The sequence below is a fragment of the Homo sapiens genome, chromosome X (assembly GCF_000001405.40).
Source record: "Homo sapiens chromosome X, GRCh38.p14 Primary Assembly".
NCBI classification, from domain to species: Eukaryota; Metazoa; Chordata; class Mammalia; order Primates; family Hominidae; genus Homo; species Homo sapiens.
The window spans coordinates 155,053,211-155,072,780 of record NC_000023.11 but is presented as its reverse complement, the minus strand read 5'-3'; the positions used below and the strand labels follow the sequence as shown (position 1 = coordinate 155,072,780).

The following is a 19,570-nucleotide window of genomic DNA, read 5'->3' as shown; positions in this document are numbered from 1 at the left end:
TCGAGACCAGCCTGGCCAACATGGTGAAACCCCGTCTGTACAAAAAAAAAAGACAGCCGGGTGTGGTGGCGGGCACCTGTAATCTCAGCTATTCGGGAGTCTGAAGTATGAGAATCGCTTGAACCTGGGAGGCGGAGGTTGCAGTGAGCAGAGATCGCGCCACTGCACTCCAGCCTGGGCGACAGAGTGAGGCTCTGTCTCACCCCTAAAACGCAACAATTATGATAATGCTTATTAAGATGTTTATCCCATATCTCAACTGAATAGGAGGTAAGGCAGAAACCAAAGTTCAAGGTTGTATCATTAAGGGAGCCCCGGAGTGATAATGGTAATTAATTTAAGACACGATCCGGACACAATACTGCCAAAGTCGCCATAATTTTAGGTTAACAATGACTTAGAGATTATAAGATATGAGTAAACAAATACAGTCTTACCTTGTATCATCGTTCAACTAGAGTGGGAAAAAGCAAAAAACATTATTGATCACATTACGTTTGTTTGACATATATGGATGCAGATTATATGACAATTAGGTCATGTGTTCACGCACATGGTATGAAAGACTGGAGAATTACTTTAGACTGTAAACAGCTAAACTGTATTTCCTCATCCTCTTCGGCCCCTCCTCAACACAATGCAGCGGAAACTTTTGCTTCCTTCAAGCCCCGCACCTTCTGTTAGGCTCTTCGATACCCTTCAAATGCTTTGGTTGATATCTCTGCTCCCTAGACAGAAGACTCGAGGCGAGGCAAGGGGCTCTAACTGTGGTCAGCTGCTGCGTCGTAATACCCGGACATCCTCATTATACTCCAGTGTCTTTCTGACCTGCCTTGCAGTTTTGGTCAACCGGGCGAAAAGCGCAGATCTAAAGAGAAGCCCCAGGCTACAGGAGAAAGGGCAAGGCTCCCGGGGCCTGTACAGACCGCCGGGGGCTCGCAGGAGACTAAACAAGTGTCAGGCGGCCAGAAGAAACGGGGCTCCCCGCGACAGAGCTATGTAAAGGGTGTCCAAGGACCTAAATCGAGGATGCCTGTGGCCTCCGCAGCCCTGGGAGCTGCCGGCACCCACCCCGGGGACACACTGGGACTGCTCAGCAGGGTTCCATCCAGGCTAACAGACCTACTCACCTCCCCTATGCACAGCCCCATTACTTCCTCCTTCTCTGTGCTCAGAGCGTGGTTGAGACAAACGAGGAAAGCGTCAGACTCGAGATGAACCGCCTGCACCGCCTGCACCACCTGCACCGCCATCTTGGCCCGACCCTTCTCACGTCCGCCTCGGGCCCACTTGGTCCTGACCAACCGGGTGCTGCGGCGCAGCCTCCCCAGCGCCCAGCGCTGTGCGCTCCGCCCAGGCCTGGCCTTCGGCGCGCGGGTTCCTAGGGGGCGGGGCTTAGGGAGCGGGCGGGGCTGTGGGGGCGGGGCTGTGGGGGCGAGGAGGGGGCAGCGGGCGCGCGGCTGGCGCGCGGGGGCGGGCCTTGGGGCACGGGGGCGGGGCCCGCCCAGCAGCACCTGGGAAACGCCCGCGCGGTTTGGGGCAGGCGTGGCCGTCGGGGCGGAGGGCGGTGGCCGGCCGCGGTCCGGGCGTCAGGCCGGGCGGCGGGGGCGGCAGGGAGGCGGCGCTCTGGGGCCGCAGGCGGACGTACTCTGTGAGCGGCGCCCGGGCGCCTGGGCAGGCGCCTCCCGAGTACCGGCGCCCATTTTGCCCGCCCGCTAAGGAGACCCGTGCGCGGCCTACACGCTTGGGGGACAGCCCTTTAAGACGACATCTCCGCGAACGCCGGCCTCTTGAGCCAGGGGGACGCTCTTTTGAAAGTCAGTCCCAAAACAGTTAAGGTTTTATTTTATTTTGTTTTATTTCCAAGTCACAGCCCCCGAATCTCGTACAACTCTCCCTGGACCACTTCCGGTTGCCGGCCCGCGCCTCATAACTTCGGTTCGAGTGACCTCGGCCCGGGATGCCCCTCGGCTCACCCCGGGCTCACGTCGCGATCCTGGCTTGAGTGGCCCAGGGTGGGAGACCTGGAAGTTTTAGCCTAGCTGTTCTCAAGGCGGATTAATTAGCCCAAGAAACATTATATTCATGTGAGTAACCTTTTGCAGAAACAGTGTTATACTGTATCTGAAAAAGTATCACTCTTAAGCTTGGCTGCTGCTACTTTCTACAAAGGCTTTTAGGTAGCTATTTGTTGGATACAGGGAAGGGGAAATGGAGAACTTCAGTTTTTATTCAAGTTCGGATGTATCACATTAGGTATCCAGAATGCAAGTTTCCTCGGGTCTCCTTGTCTCGATGATATCAGACAGTAAAAATATATGTAAAAGTAATTTTTATTTCGAGGTATGTCAAACGTGCCAAGGATAAAAGTACAGATCTTCCAACTCACAAGTCTAGGAATCACACGTGGATTTTGAAAGCGATTCTAAATCAAAGCACAATATATGCCGTGCCGCCTCCACAGCCCGTCCGTGTTCGTGTCTTTGATTTGGTTTTCTACTTTGTGTAGTTTTGAAGCCAGGCAGGTATGGCAGTACTGGAAAGGGAACATTCCCAAGGTGCTACTTGAAGTGTTGATGCTTTGCTCTTTTCTCCCAAGTCAGTTCCAACCCAAGTCTCCCCACACATAGGGTCCCCATCCAGTGCAACGATCTGTAATGTGCACGCCAGCAGCCTCCGTTTTTACCTAACGATCTGTAAGGATCACATGGCACATCTTTCTATAATTAATTTGATCATGATGAAGGTTGGAAAATTTTCGTGTGCAGTTACATTGGACCTGTCTAAATTTTCTCTTGTTTCAATTTTATATCATATGTTATTTTCAGTTACTGTTTGTGGCTAGTATGCCCCGTCCTCATGGAGCAGGAACGGCTGTTCTTATTATTATGACATTAACATTTGGTGATGGGATATAGTGCCTTTAGGCACTTTCAAGAAGAAAAATACCTTTTGTTTGTTATCGGCGGTAGTCAATCTCATATTCCAGAATGAGGTTCACTAACTTTTCTAATGCTCATGGCTGCCTTTTACAGCTCCAGGCATTTAACTGGAGTAGAACAAAATTATTAACATTTATGGCAAGCTTATTATATGCTAGATACTAAGCATTTATATGCCTGGTACATGTAAACTGCCCCATTTGGAGTCAAGCTCAACAACTTCCCCACTGTGTGACCTTGAGCAAGTTACCTAACTTCTCTGTGCCTTTCTTTTCCTCACCTTTAAGTGGGGATGATAATAATTCTGCCCACCTCATAGCGCCCTATGAAGATTGTGAAAATTAAATGAGTCAATATATGTAAACATATAGGAAATGCTAAATAAAGACTATCATGATTAATATGTTCTTTAATTCTCATTTTACACCTCAGGAAACTGAGGTGGAGAGACGTTAACTTGTCCAAGGTCACAAAGCTAGTAAGTGACAGACTCAGGACTCATACACAGGCCTGGGCCTGTGTTCTTGGTAATTTCACTCATTGTAATTGGACGAGTTTATTAATTGACTTCTAATAAAATAAGTGTATTCAACTGATCAATGTTTAAAAACTGTTCATCAACCTGGCAATTAAAGCAAACTATACTTTTTTAAAAAAGACACAAAAGAATTTATTCTGTAAAGGAAAAATGATAGTTTTACTTAGATTACTACCTAAGGAAGCCCTTCTATCTTATATGTCATCCATTTAAAACCTAATTTACAAAATGCCTTACTAAGAAATTGTCTGTCTTGGCCAGTGTGCTCTCTGGCCCCGAAATCAAGGTGACCCTCATGGGGACAATCTCTTCTAGTGGATGATAAAGTTATGCAGTTATCTAAACATTTTTGGAATTCATTTGTATTTGTAGCTGGCAGTATTCCTTGAGTTGAGTTGCACAAGTTTATATTCCATGTATTGTATTGCACCTTGTACCTAAGTCTATGTTGAGGTTTTAAAAGATTCGTCTTAGTTCGAGAAGTCCTGAATTTTGTAAACAAGTATCATGTGCAAATAAAATGTTCTCTAGTCAAATAAATTTGGGAAATGTTAACATAAAGTTTCTTTACTGCATAACTTGCCAGAACAGTTACTACACTAATGTGCTTTATGACTCTCCAAGATTCCCAAACTTATTTGACCAAGGAAAATGTTGGGAGCAAGTTTTCTAAGAATCACATTTTTCCACTCATAAAACCTGTGATTGTATAGGCTTTGATCTGAATCCCTCTCCCTCAGCCTTTGCATTTCTCTGCTGAGGACTTTGTTCATGCTCATATGGTGACTTCTCTGTCCCTTGATCACTGCAGTTGTCTTTCTCTGGGCCTGCATGCCCTCTGAATGCTAGCACACACAATTCCAGGATACTGTGCTGAGAGGTGGTTCCCAAGCTCATCCCGCTGATGCCCAGCATGTTGACCTTTGGGTCACAGCAGCACATCACACTGCCTTTCTTCTGAGAATATTTTGTAGTGACTCATAGGCCTCTTTGTAGTGACTCAGTAACTCAGACCATCATCTCCAAACTCTTTGCCCTCTATTCCACTGGCATTATTTCCTTTTAATGTCAATATAACCAATGCAATTTTGTTTTCCATTCAAAACAAATTTAAATGTCAACATGTTGGTTGTTGCTAGGACCTATCTATGAAATTGAGATGGTCCTGAAACCCTTAACACATGGTTTCCACTTTTTTAAAACAGTTATTGGCCACACTTAAGTCTTCTGTGCTTGAAATCCGAATTTAATATATTTTATTTTGACATTAGTATTTACCAGGTTTTTATTTGTATTTCTCTTTTCCAAAGCTCTGGGAAGGAAGAGAGGCAAAACAACTGTATCTGCAAATGGGAAAAAAGGGGGGCTTTGGAAAAAAATTATATATAGCCAGAGGCTTATGCCTAGAGAATCAATCTCTACCCACGTATACATAGCCAATCATGACAACCACTGTGGCGTTCCTTTGTTTCCCTTCCCTACCCACCATACATATACACCTGTTCACTGAAACATTGCTTGACCAGTACCTGAGACTTGGGGTGCCCAGAACTGTATCATTCCTGCTATTGAGCAGAATACAATACTGTGCTTTAGGGAAGACAGGACTTGTGAAATAAGCAAAGCAAATGTGTAAGGTGACTTTGTTTAAATATAAATGCTACAGTAGTCAAAAGAGGCAAGAATTTTCTAAAGTTTTCATAGAGGAGGCAGGCACCTGGACTCTGCTATAATAGCACTAAGATAGGCAGAGAGGCCCAGGGAGGCATTTTAGGCAAGTGGAAAACAAGAGCAAGGGTATGGAGCTAGAAATGAGCCTGGTATTTGGGGAAAGTTGGTCTCAACTGCAGTGGTAGTTGTAGTGCCTGCTGGAATTGGTGACATATAGGATGTAGCAACTGAATAAGAGGAAGAAATCCAAGATAATTCATAAGTTTTGAGTCTGCAGGATCAGGAATGGTGGTGTTGCCATTGAGAGAAATCAGGATTTGGTTAAAGAGAAAGTTTAGACGAGTTTGAAATGAGAGAGCACATATGTATGAAAACTAAGACAGGAGCTTACACCAGGCTCAGAGTCAGATGCACTCAGGGTATAATGGGTGAAGCATCTGGTTGCTCTCGACAGTCTCACTTTGAGGACTCTAACAACCACCCTCCCACGCTGCATTTCTTTTCCCACCTAATGAGAATAGCAGGTCTTTGTTTTGAGGGGCAGCTCCCCAGTGCCGTATCTATACTCTGGCCAAAGGTAGAAATACAGTACAACTGCGCTATAATGCTCTGAGTAAGGTCTAGAAGATTGACTCATGCAAAATGCACATCAAGTTATTGTGAGGTCCTGAAATGATATCTGGGGCTTGGGCAGAGGATCGTTATAGAGTTTGCCCTACCACTCAAATGCTTTGGGAGGTATGCTTCCTTTACACCTCTCAAATGTGCTTCTGGTCTTCTGGCTTAGGAAGTCAAAATTTAAACCTAGTCCTCTATGGAAAAATGGGCTCCTGTAACATCCTGCAGAATTATTAAAATAAAACAAGGACCTAGATGGATAACTTTCATTTGCACTCACTCAGCTCCAAATCAGCATGATCCCCAAAGTCTCTTGCAGCTCAGAAATTCCATGAAGCTAGCTTACTTTTCCTAACAAGAAAATCCCCTTCTAGAAATGCCCATCCGCTATTTGTAAACTTTCTTAGTAAACTGATAAATAGATCATTTGCCCTTAAAACAAACTTTTAATTTCAACTCTGAAAGACATGCATATATGTCCTTCAGAATCTTACCTTTTAAAATGGAAACTGCTTGGAAGTGGCTTTTACCTGGGGAATATGACATGCATGTGTCTGTTATACTGCCTTCCTGCCAAAATAAGTGTGTCTTTAGGCACGCTCTTTGCATATTCTATTGCTAACTACATTTTGCCAGACACTGCTTGTGAATGCAGTATGTGTGAGACCACTGCCCAGCTTCCTGTAGTGCTAGTCCTACATTTCCACAGAACTCCTCACCTAGCCAAATTCTTGAGCGCTTTGCAGTCAGCAGCACTACCTGAGGCTCTGCCTGAGTGTCACTTTAGTTGTCTTGCAGAAAGCTTCAGATGTCCTTGGTTCTATTTAGGTTGTGCAAATAGACATATGAGGTTTGGTTCTGGTTAGTGGTTGCTAGTACCAGATCACCTTGCTTACTGGTGAGTTCATTCAAACCCAAAAAGTCACACCTGTGTCCTGTGCGCGGGTGCTGCAGGCTTAGGTGGAGAAAAGCAGGGCTAGAATTGGAACCCAAAGCCCAGAATGGCAGGAGAGGATGTGGGGGCTCCACCCGATCACCTCTGGGTTCACCAAGAGGGTATCTACCGCGACGAATACCAGCGCACGTGGGTGGCCGTCGTGGAAGAGGTAACTGTTTACATTTTGCTTATTTCTTTGATTTTGCTTTCAAGTAACTTGGTTTCTATTCCAGTCTCAATATTCTGAAGTCTTTGGTTTTATTTTTGATCATTCCTTTCCATTAGGAGACGAGTTTCCTAAGGGCACGAGTCCAGCAAATTCAGGTTCCCTTAGGTGACGCAGCTAGGCCAAGTCACCTTCTTACCTCCCAGCTACCTCTCATGTGGCAACTCTACCCGGAGGAGCGCTACATGGATAACAACTCTCGCTTGTGGCAGATACAGCATCATTTAATGGTACACATGTTGCTTAATTATTTTCCATTGTACTGGGACTCTCGTAACAGAGTACTCCATAAACTTTTCTTTTTCTGACAGGTCAGGGGAGTACAGGAGCTGTTGCTTAAGCTTTTGCCTGATGACTAACCTGGTATGTATTTCTATTTCTCCTCTGTCCTCCCCCTCTTTGTTTTGGCTCTATTCAGTTGTGGTGATTTTAATGATTTTTTTTTCCAGGTGCTGGGATTCTACGAAGATATGCTCCTTTGTTCTGTTCAGTATTTGGCAATCACTTCATCCACTACTGCAGTGCACCCACCCTTGGGCCTGGGGGGAGGGAGTGGGTTGAAAAACTGCTCAAGAAACAGAAGTTTAGCAAGGGTCATGAAGAATACTGCAAGTGAAACTGCAGAGAGAGGTTACGTAGGCAGAAAGCAAGTCAACAAAAGCACTTAGTCAGGATCCGTAACTTGAAATTGACTCCTTTGGAAATTGCCATAGAACCCTTAATGGACATCATCGGCTGGACCTGGGATCTGATGAATCCCACAAAAGTCAGCACCTTCTACAGAACAGATGCCCTGATCACCAAGGACTTGGTACTGATTTAGAGAGAAGAGAGCAGCTCCTAGCAGCATCAACATCTATTTGTCGCTTATTTGCCCTGCAGCAATTCACCTGCCTTTCCTTCTCCCATCCTGTAAATATCCTAGGTTTTGCTCCAGTGTTTCCCATCCCAGTACTGACCTAATTTGGATCTGCTGAGTATTTAGAGGGCTCTGAAAAGAGATATGCATTGATGAAATTAGCTACAAAGGCTTGTGGGCCTTTTTTTCTATCTGAAATCGTGTCTTCAAATTACTGGAAGTTGCTGATCAAAATTGTGGGCTCTTGAATTCATTCTCTGATTACAGATATTTTAAATAAGCTGGTTTCTATAAGAACTTCAAGAAAAACCATTTTAGCTGCTTAACTGGCACCTTTCTCAGGAAGTAATAACACCAAATATTGCTGATTCCTAGGAAAACATTTACTACTTGTAAAGAATTTCCTGAGTTAAAGTAGTTATAACAGTTTATATACATTAAAAGTAAGGTTTTACTTTAAAAAAAAAAGTCTTGGGAATAATAGCTACCATGTATTGGAGTCCTTTCCAGGCACTATTGTATGTACTTTATATACTTTATCACATTTAATCCTCCTGTCAATGCTTTGAGGTAGGTATGATTCCCATTTTATATATGAGTAATAAAAAAAGCTCAAGGAGTTTAATCATTTATCAAGGGTTTCTTCTGCGAATGATAGAGCCAGGCTGCGCCGTCGGCTCCTCTAGCCTAACGTTGGTTTACAGTATTCAAAAAGAGTTGATTGAATTCAAGGTTTTTTTTCCATGTAAAGCTATTTATATCTTCCAAGCCTAATGAAATGGATATTATAAAAATACAGTTGATTCATCCTATGTTTGGGAAGAGTATTTTTAGTGTAATTATTTTCCAGCAATTGTAAGGGCATATACTGCTTGTCTCAGAAGAAAATTCCACGTAGAGGGGCTTTAAAGTCTTTATGGAAAAAAGAAAAATAAAAATCATTTTTCTTGTTTTAGTTTTCTGGATATGCCGCAGAAGGATCCGTGCCAGAAGCAAGCCTGTGAGATACAGAAATGTTTACAAGGTAGTATATTGTAAAATGCTTTAAAAATATTTTTCCACTGTGAACTAACTATAAGAGACCAATTATTCTTTTATCTGTATTAACTCTTTTTTAAGAATGTAACGTATATGTAATTATCCTGAAGATTCTCTTCATTGTATCATCAAAGATGCAGAAAATAAAAAGTAATGTGATCAAAGCTAGGGGTTTTCACTCCAGGTGATTAGCATCACCTGGAGATCTTTAAACACTTACCTAGAACAATTCAGACTTCCTAGGGCTAGGGCTAGGAAAAAAAGGGTTTTTTGTTGTTGTTGTTTGTTTTTACTAAAAGGCTAGTTTTAAATTGGTTGGTTATACTTCACTGCAGCTGACAATTCACTTTTTAAAAGCAATCTGGAAGAGGTGCGGTTGAAATAACAATTGGAATTCAGGCTGCCAAAGTCATCAACTAACTCTTAAAGGCAGAAGTGAATCTCGACTAAAGCATATTTGAGGTGATTTGTCCATTTGTCCAGCTGCTAAGTTTGACCAAATGTTAGAGGATTTTAGTTTTCTAATCAGTGAATGACTGTTGCCAGAAGAGCAAATAGAAAAAGCTATAAGGCTATCTGAATTTGAAAAAATTTTAATAAGTTTTCCTCACTAGTAAAGTAATAGATGGAGATGGAAGGTCATGAAAATATAGAAAGGTATGAAGGAAAAATGTTCAGAGTTCCCCCAAAGATTCACCACCAAAGAAATCCTTTGTTTGTGTATCTCCTTGGACTTTTAGCTTTCATTCTTGGACTTTTCATTTTTTGATGTTAGCAATATTTTATAAAATCTTTTAGATTAAAATCTGGATGTATAATAATGCCATTTTAGTCAAACTTCTTCCCTCCAACTTTAAGGAAAAGGAAAAAGTTTTTTGCATTTAATTCCTTCTCCCAAATAAAACCTTACCTTGTTTGAAATAACCCATAGCTAAGGGAAAAAAATAAGTTAAAAAGAGCTGGTGACACCCCCTTGGCAGTGTGGGAGGATTAAGAACTGGAAAGACTAAAAGATGACAAGCACCGTTATAAGGACTTTATACGTATTAAGCCTTTCATCCATGAGGTAGATGCTACTATGACCCCCATTTCATAAAGGGGAAAACAGACACACAAGTTATGTAATTTGACTAGGGTCACATAGCTAGTAAGAGGTATGGTGGGAATTTGAACACCCCCCGCCAACCCCGCCCTTGGTCTAGCTCCAAATCTGGACTGTTACCCACCTTGCTATACTGCCTTTCTAATCAGAATTGTCTTTCCTATCCTGAGCTAACTACCATGTACTCCATTTTAGTACTGGGGGACTCATTAACTGCAGCTGACCTAGAGTCTTTAGGTCAGGTCCTCCTTAACTTAGTGTTTATGTATAGTAGGGATCTGCAAATGTTTTATGAAAAAGGCCAAACAAGTAATATTTTAGGCTTTGGAGGCCAAAGGCCTTTGTTGTATATATTGTGTATGTGTTGTGTGTTTACAACCCTTTAAAAATTAAAATCCATTTTTAGCTCCCAGCTGTAAAAACCGGCTGAATTTGACCCTAAGGCTGCAGTTTGCCAATTCCTGATGCACAGCCTTAGTAGGGGAGGTCCAACAATCAGCTTAAACTGTATGCAAAATAATGTGTGGTGTATGTGCATTTTCCTAATTCATCAAATTAGTGACCAGTAATAAAAATGATGTTAAAAACCAATGTCCTAGAAAAAGGTGCATACATGCTATTAACCTTAAAGGAAATTATATATTAAAATAGCTTTCAACCACTTTGTAAATCATACTTTCCCTAACGAACCTGTCGACAGGTCTCTAAATTAGAAAGAATTCAGTGGACTTTGGTATATCTTCTTTCTTCCAGTTCCATAGGTACTGAAAGTGAAAAGGGGTGGGAAGCACTGATCTAAACCTCCCTGTACCTTAGTCCTATGAGATCATGACTAGAGTCTGCCTGTATGTTTTTCAGCCAACAGCTACATGGAATCAAAGTGTCAGGCTGTCATCCAAGAACTGCGTAAGTGTTGTGCTCAGTATCCCAAGGGAAGATCTGTCGTCTGTTCAGGATTTGAAAAAGAAGAGGAAGAAAACCTAACACGGAAGTCTGCATCAAAGTAAAGTTCTTCTGAAGTGCTGCTCCATGTTTCCACCAAATGAATTTTTTTTATCCTCCTGACTCTTCAGGCCAGGTAGCAGCAAATAGCAAATGAAAAAGTCAGCTACAAAAGTTAATGAATATGCCATCTATGCAGAACAGGCAGAAATATAAACACATTAAAAGACAAATATGTAGAATGTAATATACTGAGCTGCTAAAATAAACCTGTTTAAGAGAAAAATTTGGGTTTTGTACTAAATGTATTTTAAGACTATTAGATATAGGGTATTAATGAATTCTCTTGAAGTTCAAGCCACTAGTGCCATTCATCAAATTTAAGTCATATGAGGTATGTTAGGTGAAAGGACTCACTTCCAGCATCACAATTTTGACGCCCTTTTTTTTTTTTTTTTTTTTTTTTTTGAGATGGAGTCTCACTCTGTCATCCAGGCTACAGTGCAATGGTGCGATCTCGGCCCACCGCAACCTCTGCCTGCCGGGTTCAAGCAATTCTGCCTCAGCCTCCCAAGTAGCTGGGATTATAGGCATGCACCACCACGCCTGGCTAATTTTTGTGTTCTTAGTAGACGGGGTTTCACCATGTTGGTCAGGCTGGTCTTGAACTCCTGACCTCGTGATCTGCCCGCCTCGGCCTCCCAAAGTGCTGGGATTACAGGCGTGAGCCAATTTTGATACCTTTTATAGATTACATGCTAAACTAATTCAAAGTTTCCTTTAAACTAACTCATTACCTTTTGTACTTCCAAAAATGCAGAGCAAAAAGTGTCTTTCCAGATGCCAGTAAGAGCATTTCTTTCTGCTTTTGCATCCCCACTGCAGCGACTAACCAGGTAGGAAAGGCATAGAAATGATTCTTGTAATGCTTAATGATCCTTAATTTATCATGAAGGAACTGAAGAAAAAATTTTCATTGGAAGTCAGGTAGGCAGCAAGATAATTCAAACTTAGTTGGTTTATCTATTCTTTATATCCTGATAATAAAAACCTGTTACAGAGGATCCAGACAACATTAATACAAAGCTGCTGAATGAAGCCTGTTGACAGCTGTCAGTCACTTTATGAAGTAGGAGGAGGCAGCATGCAACAGGCCATTTGCTTTCCTCAAATGGATGCTTGAACCACCAAAGGCTGTCCTCTAAAAAAGAAAAAGATGACTAAAAGCAGGAACAATTTCTGCTAGGTCCCTGATGTTAAAATACCATGATTATTTGAGACCAACTGTTTTCTTTAAAGCAGCATTACTCAAAGTGTTTCTAGGAATTGCTGTAACCGGAAGAAAAAAAAAAGGCTTCTCTGGTCAGGTAAGTTTGGGGAATGCTAGGTTGCATACAAGTACACAGGTTAATTTCCTGTCAGACTTCAGAGCTTTCAAAAAACCTAAGTGAACCTGTTTTGCAGACAGCATCTCTGTGTGTGAATGCTCTCCAGAGCGACTTAAAGAAATGCTGCCTTAGAGACGTTTGGTCCACAAACCAGAGTGACAGAGCTAAATCCCCATGAAATTTAAATGACGTCTTGTGTTAATAATAACACAATAAAACATCATACAACTTTAATGTTACACCATCTACAAATCTAAATTACATTTAAAATTATCAGTTGACAGTTGTACTAGGATTTACATTAGGAATCACTACATGATCAAATAGATTGTTTTTCTGTGTTTTATTGCCAAGTTATTTTTACTGAGTTAACTACTCCAGTTTCAGACTCTTTTAAATGTTTTTATGCTAAAGTATATGTATTAGTCCATTGTTGCATTGCTATAAAAAGTGCCTGAGACTCGGTAATTTATAAATAAAAGAGGTTTAGTTGGCTCACAGTTCCATGGGCTGTACAGGAAGCATGGCACTGGTATCTGATGGGCTTCTGGGGACGCCTCAGGAAACTTACAGCCATGGCAGAAAGCAAAAGGGGAGTGAGCACTCCACATGGCCAAAGCAGGAGCAAGAGAGAGTGAGGGGTGAAGTGCCAGATCTCATGAGAACTCACTATCATGAGTGAAGTACCAAGAGGGGATGGCCCCCACGATCCAATCACCTCTCACCAGGATCCACCTCCATTAGGGAATACGGTTCAACATGACATTCGGTGGCTCCAAACTGTATCAGTATACGACTTTCTTTCAGTTTTGAAAGGTTCAAATCAGTTCCTTCTTTTAAAGGATTGTGTCAGTTTAAGTCAACAAATCCATTTGAAGACATTAATTTAACTCTTCTTATTCTTAGGTATTATTATGACATACAAAAAAATAAAATAGCCATCATAGAAGGCTTAACATTTACTGAGTGCTTCTTATTGTTAGGGACCAAGAGTAACACTGAATCTCAGTCTTAAGCAAAGAACTCTAGGAAGGTGAAAACTATGATCTCCCATTTTAGAAACCAAAAAAAAAAAAAAACTTTGTTAAGTTGGCTATTAGTGATGCTAAGTTTAATCACTTGGTTAGTGACTGACAGACCTTTTAGCTAGAAAGGTAGTTTTCCCTTCGTAATGGGTAAGTCATTTGTGGGGTGATATCTTGTCACTCCTTTCCTTGCATTCACTCCACACGATTCCTAAGACATTTAATGAACTATAATATTACACTTGTGTTCAGTATTCAGAAGGCATCTGAAGTTGTATGGCACTTAATATAAAAGGCTTTAAAGCCCTCTTAAGGAGTTAACAGCAAAACTCTTAATTTTTTCAGCACCAGCTTCCAACTGTGTACTTCAGTGGTTCTCAGTCTCTGCTGCTCATTAGAAAAAGCTAAGACACTTTAAAACCTCAGGATGCCTGAACAGCACTCCAGACCAGTGAAATCAGAATCTCTAGGATGAGAGCCAGGCATTAGTAGTTTTTAAAATTTCACAGGTGATTCCCAAGTGCAAGCAAGGATGAAAGCCACTGCTCTCAGGAATGTCATTTCTTACCATTTTAAAATTTAAAAAGGTAGACACTTTTGAAAAGTCAGTAAACTGACTTTAAAGCTTTATAAAAATGTGAAAAAGTGCGACACTTTTCTTTTAAAAAAAAAAGTATTAAGATTCATGACCCCTTAAAAAGAATGCAAGCATCGGAAATATAAGCTATACCATATGACTTCTAGAAAAATCAGGCTCAGAACTAAAATAGGTTTTCTGCCCAATTACTCAGATGTTAGTGTGACCTCTTAGAAAATTGGGCAGAAAATGTATTTTAGTTCTGGGCCTGATTTCTGAGAAATCATACTAGATTTCATGACAAAGAAATGAAGCTGATAATTTGGTAGAGGGAGTAGAGGGCAGCAGCCACATTTTTCTCTGGGGTCCAAAACTGGCTGTGAGCTTCCCTCTGAGAAGAAATTGAGATCATCATGAAACATTGATGATACTCAGAAATTTCAAATCCATCAGTATACCATCTTTTCAAGCAGAGATTCCCAAACTGTACAAAAGTAGAGGTTCCAAATAAGAGCCCAACCATTAGTTATGCCCATCTTTCTGACAACCGTGAAACAAAAGAATGATGGAGAGACTATTCTTACCACAATAGTTGTTAACTACACAGTAACTTTGCTTTCCAAAACCAGAAGCACCCACCCCAAGAGCATGTTGGCTAGAATTATGCAAGAGATCATTCCTTGTAGAATCTAGTCCGCCAACTTGAATCGTCTTCTGCCAGCATCCATGAGACAGTAACTGCCCAGATCCAGTAGCAAGGACTGTCACCCCAGTGGTAGGGGAGTCAAGAACCCCACTGTCCTGTTAATGAATGTCTGGAGGCTGAGTGGCGGGAGATTGCAACAAACAAGCGGCCATTTGGGAGGAGAGTCATGCTAACATATTATCACAATGGCAATAACACTCATGACAATGGGCTGCTCAGGCAAGGGTCCCCACCACCACATCTCTCCCCGCACCCAGCTCCCGTGTCAGCAATGAGGATACACATTCTTGGGGGAGACTGAAACATTGGACTCCATCTGTTGAGCCCGAGCAGGCAGCGGCCAGAAAGTGCCCCTGGATCCGTCTCTGCTCTCCGACTCTGGGGAGAACCTTGGGAAGAAGAGACTCAAAAGTTCTACCTCTCCTGTAGCATGCTCCAAGTCCCCATCCCACCAGGTCCCATTGCGGGAGAGACGCTGGGTCAAAGGGTGGCTCAAAGTGGTGAGGACGCAGGGCCGACCCATAGTAGCCAGGAAGGGGACAGAAGGGGTCCCTGAGCCGGGACACTGTCCAGCACGCTGCAGGACAAGGGAAGGGAAGCCTTCACTACGTAGATGCCATCCTATTGGTTGACAAGTTGGAAGCCTTGAGTGCGGTGTTACCACGTCGCCGCCACAAGGGGGCGATGAAACCCCGAACACATTCCAAGTCAAGTTTCTGCGGACCATATACAGCGACAACGCTCTTCCCAAGGAAAAACTTCCGCCCCACCACCACTAATTAGGAAGTCCAGAGCGTCATTGGACTCTGCTACTGGAGAAAATACGTGCCTAGCTAAGCAGGCCTCTCCAGTCAAATGAAAGTAGTGCACTGAAAGGTGGAGCTGCCTGGTCCTTGAATCATCTCGGTTTTGCATGGAGGAGTGGCAGCTGTTCTTTTGGGGGAAACCTTAACTCCCACTTCACCACCTGAAACAAAACTGCTGGCACAATAGGGCCTTGATTCACAGGTAACCCCAAATGCCTGAGCCTCCTTCACCGATGGTTCAGCTAAACTGAAAACAAGGTGTGCAGCTGTGCGTGTTCAACCTCCATGCCAGCTCTGCACAATCCCAAGTGGTCACAGTGGCCTCACACCGTGGGCAGAACTCACAGCCGTTCTCATACTAGCAGGATGAGGCCAACCTGCAATACTGACCTCAACCATGACCCTCACAGTCGTAGAGGCAGCCAGCTGGGAAAAAACTTCAGGAGGGACCTACCTACAGATCTTAATTCAGACAATCAGAATACAGTCTGAGGCCAGACTATTTATTACAACCTACTCAAGGTAGTTTACAACCACCTGCTAATCTTTGCTGCCCTCACCAATAATCACAGGAAAAACAGATGCACCAAAAGACAACCCCTACCCCACTGGAGAGGCATTGGGTGGCCAGTCTCCCCACATGCAACCCAAAGGGGCACAGAGCACTTTGGTTAGCTTTGCTGTTACCATCCCATTGCTGTGGGTAAGTCACACAGGTAAAGTGGCTGCAGCCACTATCACCATATATGGCATAACCCAGAGACCCAGATGTCAGGAGAGGCAGAGTGTGGGGAAGCAGGAAACAGATGACTCAGTGTCACTACATATGTCTATATCAATATATATAGAGATATAAATATATAGCAAGCAAAAAAAAAAAAATAGAGGAGGATCTATAAGGTTAAGAGACTTATCCAAATCATGCAAATACGATGTGAACCTTGCATGAATTTTGATTCAAACAAACTAAATATAAAACACTTGAGGAAATTTTGAACACTGATCAGATTTTGGATATTATGTAATTACTGTTAATGTCTGATATGATGAGGTATTTATGATTTTTAGAAATAATTCTTACCTTTTAGAGATACATACTGAAATATGATAAAATGACATTTTGATATTTGTTTCACAATAACTGGTAAAAACCAGCAGAGCTATAATTTGATGATTGTTGTGAGTGAGTGATAGATACACAGGGGGATTATTGTACTATATTCTCTACTTTTATATATTCCTGAAAGCGTCCATAATAAAAAGTGAAAAAAAATAAGTTCTTATAGCAAAATATGCAGCAAAGAGGCTCATACCATTATGGTTTTGAGATGATTCATACATATTGCAAGCAAAATGGCTTATGTTTCCTTAAATGTAAGGAGAAAAACGCAAATAGGTGGTTTCTGTAAAGTTCCACACATCCACTGGTAGTTTTGATTTTCAAATTCAATACATCATTCTCAAGACGGGTTAAAATGCAAACATTTTTAAATGTATGGCCTTAGAAACACACTCATATTTCACAAGAGATCATCTCCAAGATTAACAATTCTGAGTAAAACTAACCTTTAATAGTGAGTTTTCTTTCTATAAAGTCATTATTCAAATACTCAGCACCTATTAAGTGCTAGGCCCTGTGAGTATAATGGTGAAGACAGAAGTCTTGCCCTCTGAAAGCTGACTGATATTCTAGTAGGGACTGTAGACATGGTAACATGCCACTACAGCAAAATGTGGTAAGATTCTGTGTGTGCGTGTGTGCCCGTGTGTGTGTGTGTGTGTAAGCTTTTAAAGAATAATTCTCAGGGTTGTGGTCATCATGAGACGGTAGATTACACTTGATGGAAATTTATTTCTCATGTCCTATCACTATCTTTCTTAATTCTGAATCCCTGGAAAGCTACTTCTTTAAAATTCCGGTTTAAATGTTGTATTTCATACTAACTAGATTAAAAAAAAAAATAGTAGAAGTGGCACAGAGGAGTTATGGCCACCCCTAATGTTTTGATAAGGATATTTCATTCACATTTCAAAGCTTAAAACCTTTTCTACAAAATAAAAATCCAAAATCTTCCCTTTCCCACCTAAATCACTTGTTTTACAATAAATAAACCCTTTGGAAACAGCCATGAGATACATTATCCTGTACGGTAGAAAGCATTCCTGGACAATATCAGATTTTTCAATTACAGTAATTATGCTGCCAATTTTGTCGGCATAATTATAACACATTTAAATAGCTTTCTGTAATGTAAAACCAACTAAAAAAGAAAGTAGACACCAAGATACCAAAATCTTTCATGCTTAAAGGCAAATGTATTCAGTTCCTTTCCATGCAGCACACAATAAGGTTATCTATGTGCTTATTTCTTTTCCAAATCAACAGTTTGGGACAACCTTTCAGGATCCACTCATCCTCCACGGTCAGCCATCTTGTAATGTGTTCTCATAAGTGTCTTGCATGGGGGTAAAGGAACCTTCTTGTTGGCCTACAGACTGGCCAAGTAGGGGGTGTACTGGGAGGAGAGCTAAGGACTATTGTCTCTTCTGCCACCATGAAGCTCATGGTGCCACATTGACTTGTACCAGCAGATGCTTAGAGAAGCCACTCAGATTTGCCATGGCAGGGAAGAAGGCATGGGAGAAGAGGAGGAGGGACTCGATGTCCTATGATGGAGTGTAGAGGCTGCTGGCTGGAAAAAACCAGGAACAATGAACATGAGGTCATCTTCCTTAGGATGCCATGCCAAGCAGAAAGCCTCCGAAAAATCCCCCAGTTACTAGAACATTCTTCTTCACAAATGACACCACCTGAAAACAGAAGATAGTACAATGGGTTGTTTTGCTAAGGATGTTAATAATATTAAGAATCATCTCTATTATACCTATGCCAGTCTTAACAATGTCAATCCCCTCATCGGTTACGTAATTTGCACTTTACCCAAAGGGCAATGGACTTACACTAATAGTCTATTTAATAATAATTAAATAGACTTACATATGAAAATGACTACTGGCTGGTGTGGGGAGAATAAGACTAGAGGGAGCCTGATGGGAAGGAGGATGCACATCAGGAGGTAGAGACAATGGCTCTTTGAATCAAGGACAAAGAAGGAGAGTTCATGGGGACAGTTATGGCGAAAGAGTAAAGCTGCACTAAATAAACTGGTTACAGAGGCAATTCTGTTTCCAATTTTGCTCCTTCCATCCTCTTTGGCATCTACCCTCCAATAGAGGCTTCTCATTTCCTGAAGTCTCTCCCCTAAATCTCTCCATCCATGCATTCCCCCCTGAAACCTGCTCCCAGGTAGATGCTATAAATTCTCATTCTCACACTTCACCACATCTAAGATGATTAACAGGTGACGTTCTTATTTCCTTAAGTTCCCAAAGCTTCCCACCTCCCCTCTACCCTCCTGGAATAGCTCCCGGTCATCTGAGACTCAGTGCATACATTCAGACACTCTTTATGGCTCCTTAGTCTGTGCTCTACCAATCTCCTGACCACTCCCCACCCTTCCAATTTCAGAGACAATTTTGATAAGTGGCTCAGACTTCCTCTTTCTCCTAAGTGTGATCACCACCTTAGAAAGTGTTCATATGAACAAGACATCCAACATCCTGGCCTGATCATTTCTTGAACTCAAGTACGGTGACTTCCATCCCCAAACCACCTAAGCTACTCACACCCTGACATTCCCCTAACATTTTTCACACTACCAACCCCATCCTCCTAGGACCACTGTCTTCTAACCCTCCAGTAAGCCCTTACTCCAACGATGCCTATGTCTTCCTGCCTCATTTCCACTCCTCCTCCATCTCTCCTGGACCTCTACATTTCCTTAAATGAAGCACTTTTGTCATCTGCCATTGGGGTGAAGAAAAAAAATCATACAACTTCCTGAGAAAATTGGTTTCGTTTATTATTTTTACTACTCTTTCTTCAACTTGCTAATTTGGCTTTCAACTCCACCACCCCACCAAACTGTTCTCACTGAAGTCATCTTGTTGGTAAATACTGAACTAAATCTTCATCCTGTTTCTCAAATCAGACCACCGGCTCTATGAGTAGGAAAACCAGCCACTACATCCCCAGGGCCTGTGACAGTGAACTCAATTCCAAATTATCTGGTTACTTTATAACAAACTCCCTCTGTGAGTCAACAGTTGGTTCTAATCAAATATTAACTTTATG

General features: G+C 42.0%; 4 protein-coding genes across 7 annotated transcripts in view, besides 9 other annotated features; 2 read left to right on the top strand and 2 right to left on the bottom strand.

The window, feature by feature from the left end:
- The window catches only part of BRCC3 (BRCA1/BRCA2-containing complex subunit 3), a 51,570-nt gene extending 50,297 nt beyond the window's left edge, over positions 1 to 1,273 (bottom strand). For all 4 annotated transcript variants that reach the window (XM_005274751.5, NM_001242640.2, NM_024332.4 and 1 more), the window contains exons 1-2: positions 1,131 to 1,273; positions 438 to 454 (exon numbers count right to left, since the gene is read on the bottom strand). In XM_005274751.5, coding sequence (XP_005274808.1) covers positions 438 to 454; positions 1,131 to 1,253 — 140 coding nt within the window. In that variant the 5' untranslated portion in view covers positions 1,254 to 1,273. The remainder of the gene's footprint in view (positions 1 to 437; positions 455 to 1,130) is intronic.
- Positions 290 to 1,011: an enhancer, noted in NCBI's record as "H3K27ac-H3K4me1 hESC enhancer chrX:154300045-154300766 (GRCh37/hg19 assembly coordinates)". NCBI's record gives its function as "activates a minimal SCP1, AML or CMV promoter by ChIP-STARR-seq in primed H9 embryonic stem cells {active_cell/tissue: H9 hESC(primed)}" and the evidence as "EXISTENCE:reporter gene assay evidence [ECO:0000049][PMID:30033119]".
- Positions 290 to 1,017: a biological region, named in NCBI's record as "H3K27ac-H3K4me1 hESC enhancer GRCh37_chrX:154300045-154300766".
- Positions 968 to 1,017: an enhancer, noted in NCBI's record as "active region_30076". NCBI's record gives its function as "activates an Ori minimal core promoter by ATAC-STARR-seq in GM12878 lymphoblastoid cells {active_cell/tissue: GM12878}" and the evidence as "EXISTENCE:reporter gene assay evidence [ECO:0000049][PMID:35858748]".
- Positions 1,012 to 1,733: an enhancer, noted in NCBI's record as "H3K27ac hESC enhancer chrX:154299323-154300044 (GRCh37/hg19 assembly coordinates)". NCBI's record gives its function as "activates a minimal SCP1, AML or CMV promoter by ChIP-STARR-seq in primed H9 embryonic stem cells {active_cell/tissue: H9 hESC(primed)}" and the evidence as "EXISTENCE:reporter gene assay evidence [ECO:0000049][PMID:30033119]".
- Positions 1,028 to 1,247: an enhancer, noted in NCBI's record as "active region_30075". NCBI's record gives its function as "activates an Ori minimal core promoter by ATAC-STARR-seq in GM12878 lymphoblastoid cells {active_cell/tissue: GM12878}" and the evidence as "EXISTENCE:reporter gene assay evidence [ECO:0000049][PMID:35858748]".
- Positions 1,358 to 1,677: a silencer, noted in NCBI's record as "silent region_21122". NCBI's record gives its function as "represses an Ori minimal core promoter by ATAC-STARR-seq in GM12878 lymphoblastoid cells {active_cell/tissue: GM12878}" and the evidence as "EXISTENCE:reporter gene assay evidence [ECO:0000049][PMID:35858748]".
- MTCP1 (mature T cell proliferation 1) lies at positions 1,645 to 8,747 on the top strand. The gene is made up of 5 exons (NM_001018025.4): positions 1,645 to 2,087; positions 6,724 to 6,875; positions 6,992 to 7,162; positions 7,244 to 7,295; positions 7,382 to 8,747. Exons 2-4 carry the CDS (start codon positions 6,771 to 6,773, stop codon positions 7,289 to 7,291), a joined length of 324 nt encoding a protein of 107 aa, NP_001018025.1. The 5' UTR covers positions 1,645 to 2,087; positions 6,724 to 6,770; the 3' UTR covers positions 7,292 to 7,295; positions 7,382 to 8,747.
- CMC4 (C-X9-C motif containing 4) lies at positions 1,645 to 11,159 on the top strand. The gene is made up of 3 exons (NM_001018024.3): positions 1,645 to 2,087; positions 8,748 to 8,815; positions 10,790 to 11,159. The coding sequence occupies exons 2-3, from the start codon at positions 8,758 to 8,760 to the stop codon at positions 10,936 to 10,938; spliced, it is 207 nt and encodes a 68-aa protein (NP_001018024.1). The 5' UTR covers positions 1,645 to 2,087; positions 8,748 to 8,757; the 3' UTR covers positions 10,939 to 11,159.
- Positions 1,718 to 2,017: an enhancer, noted in NCBI's record as "active region_30074". NCBI's record gives its function as "activates an Ori minimal core promoter by ATAC-STARR-seq in GM12878 lymphoblastoid cells {active_cell/tissue: GM12878}" and the evidence as "EXISTENCE:reporter gene assay evidence [ECO:0000049][PMID:35858748]".
- Positions 11,160 to 12,476: 1,317 nt separating the features above from the next.
- FUNDC2 (FUN14 domain containing 2) overlaps positions 12,477 to 19,570 on the bottom strand; it is a 33,461-nt gene continuing 26,367 nt past the window's right edge. The window contains exon 5 of the mRNA NM_023934.4: positions 12,477 to 18,186. Coding sequence (NP_076423.2) covers positions 18,109 to 18,186 — 78 coding nt within the window. The 3' untranslated portion in view covers positions 12,477 to 18,108. The remainder of the gene's footprint in view (positions 18,187 to 19,570) is intronic.
- Positions 15,012 to 15,513: an enhancer, noted in NCBI's record as "H3K4me1 hESC enhancer chrX:154285543-154286044 (GRCh37/hg19 assembly coordinates)". NCBI's record gives its function as "activates a minimal SCP1, AML or CMV promoter by ChIP-STARR-seq in naive H9 embryonic stem cells {active_cell/tissue: H9 hESC(naive)}" and the evidence as "EXISTENCE:reporter gene assay evidence [ECO:0000049][PMID:30033119]".
- Positions 15,053 to 15,347: an enhancer, noted in NCBI's record as "tiled region #3530; HepG2 Activating DNase matched - State 12:CtcfO, and K562 Activating DNase unmatched - State 4:PromP". NCBI's record gives its function as "activates a minimal TATA promoter and a strong SV40 promoter by Sharpr-MPRA in HepG2 and K562 cells {active_cell/tissue: HepG2 | K562}" and the evidence as "EXISTENCE:reporter gene assay evidence [ECO:0000049][PMID:27701403]".

Excerpts from the sequence above, each read along its gene's own strand:
- CMC4 (NM_001018024.3), top strand. The coding sequence starts at position 8,758 with ATGCCGCAGAAGGATCCGTGCCAGAAGCAAGCCTGTGAGATACAGAAA. Across the intron at positions 8,816-10,789 it reads GATACAGAAATGTTTACAAG|CCAACAGCTACATGGAATCA; the intron begins GTAGTATATTGT and ends TATGTTTTTCAG.
- MTCP1 (NM_001018025.4), top strand. The coding sequence starts at position 6,771 with ATGGCAGGAGAGGATGTGGGGGCTCCACCCGATCACCTCTGGGTTCAC. Across the intron at positions 6,876-6,991 it reads GGGTGGCCGTCGTGGAAGAG|GAGACGAGTTTCCTAAGGGC; the intron begins GTAACTGTTTAC and ends CCTTTCCATTAG. Across the intron at positions 7,163-7,243 it reads AGATACAGCATCATTTAATG|GTCAGGGGAGTACAGGAGCT; the intron begins GTACACATGTTG and ends TTTTTCTGACAG.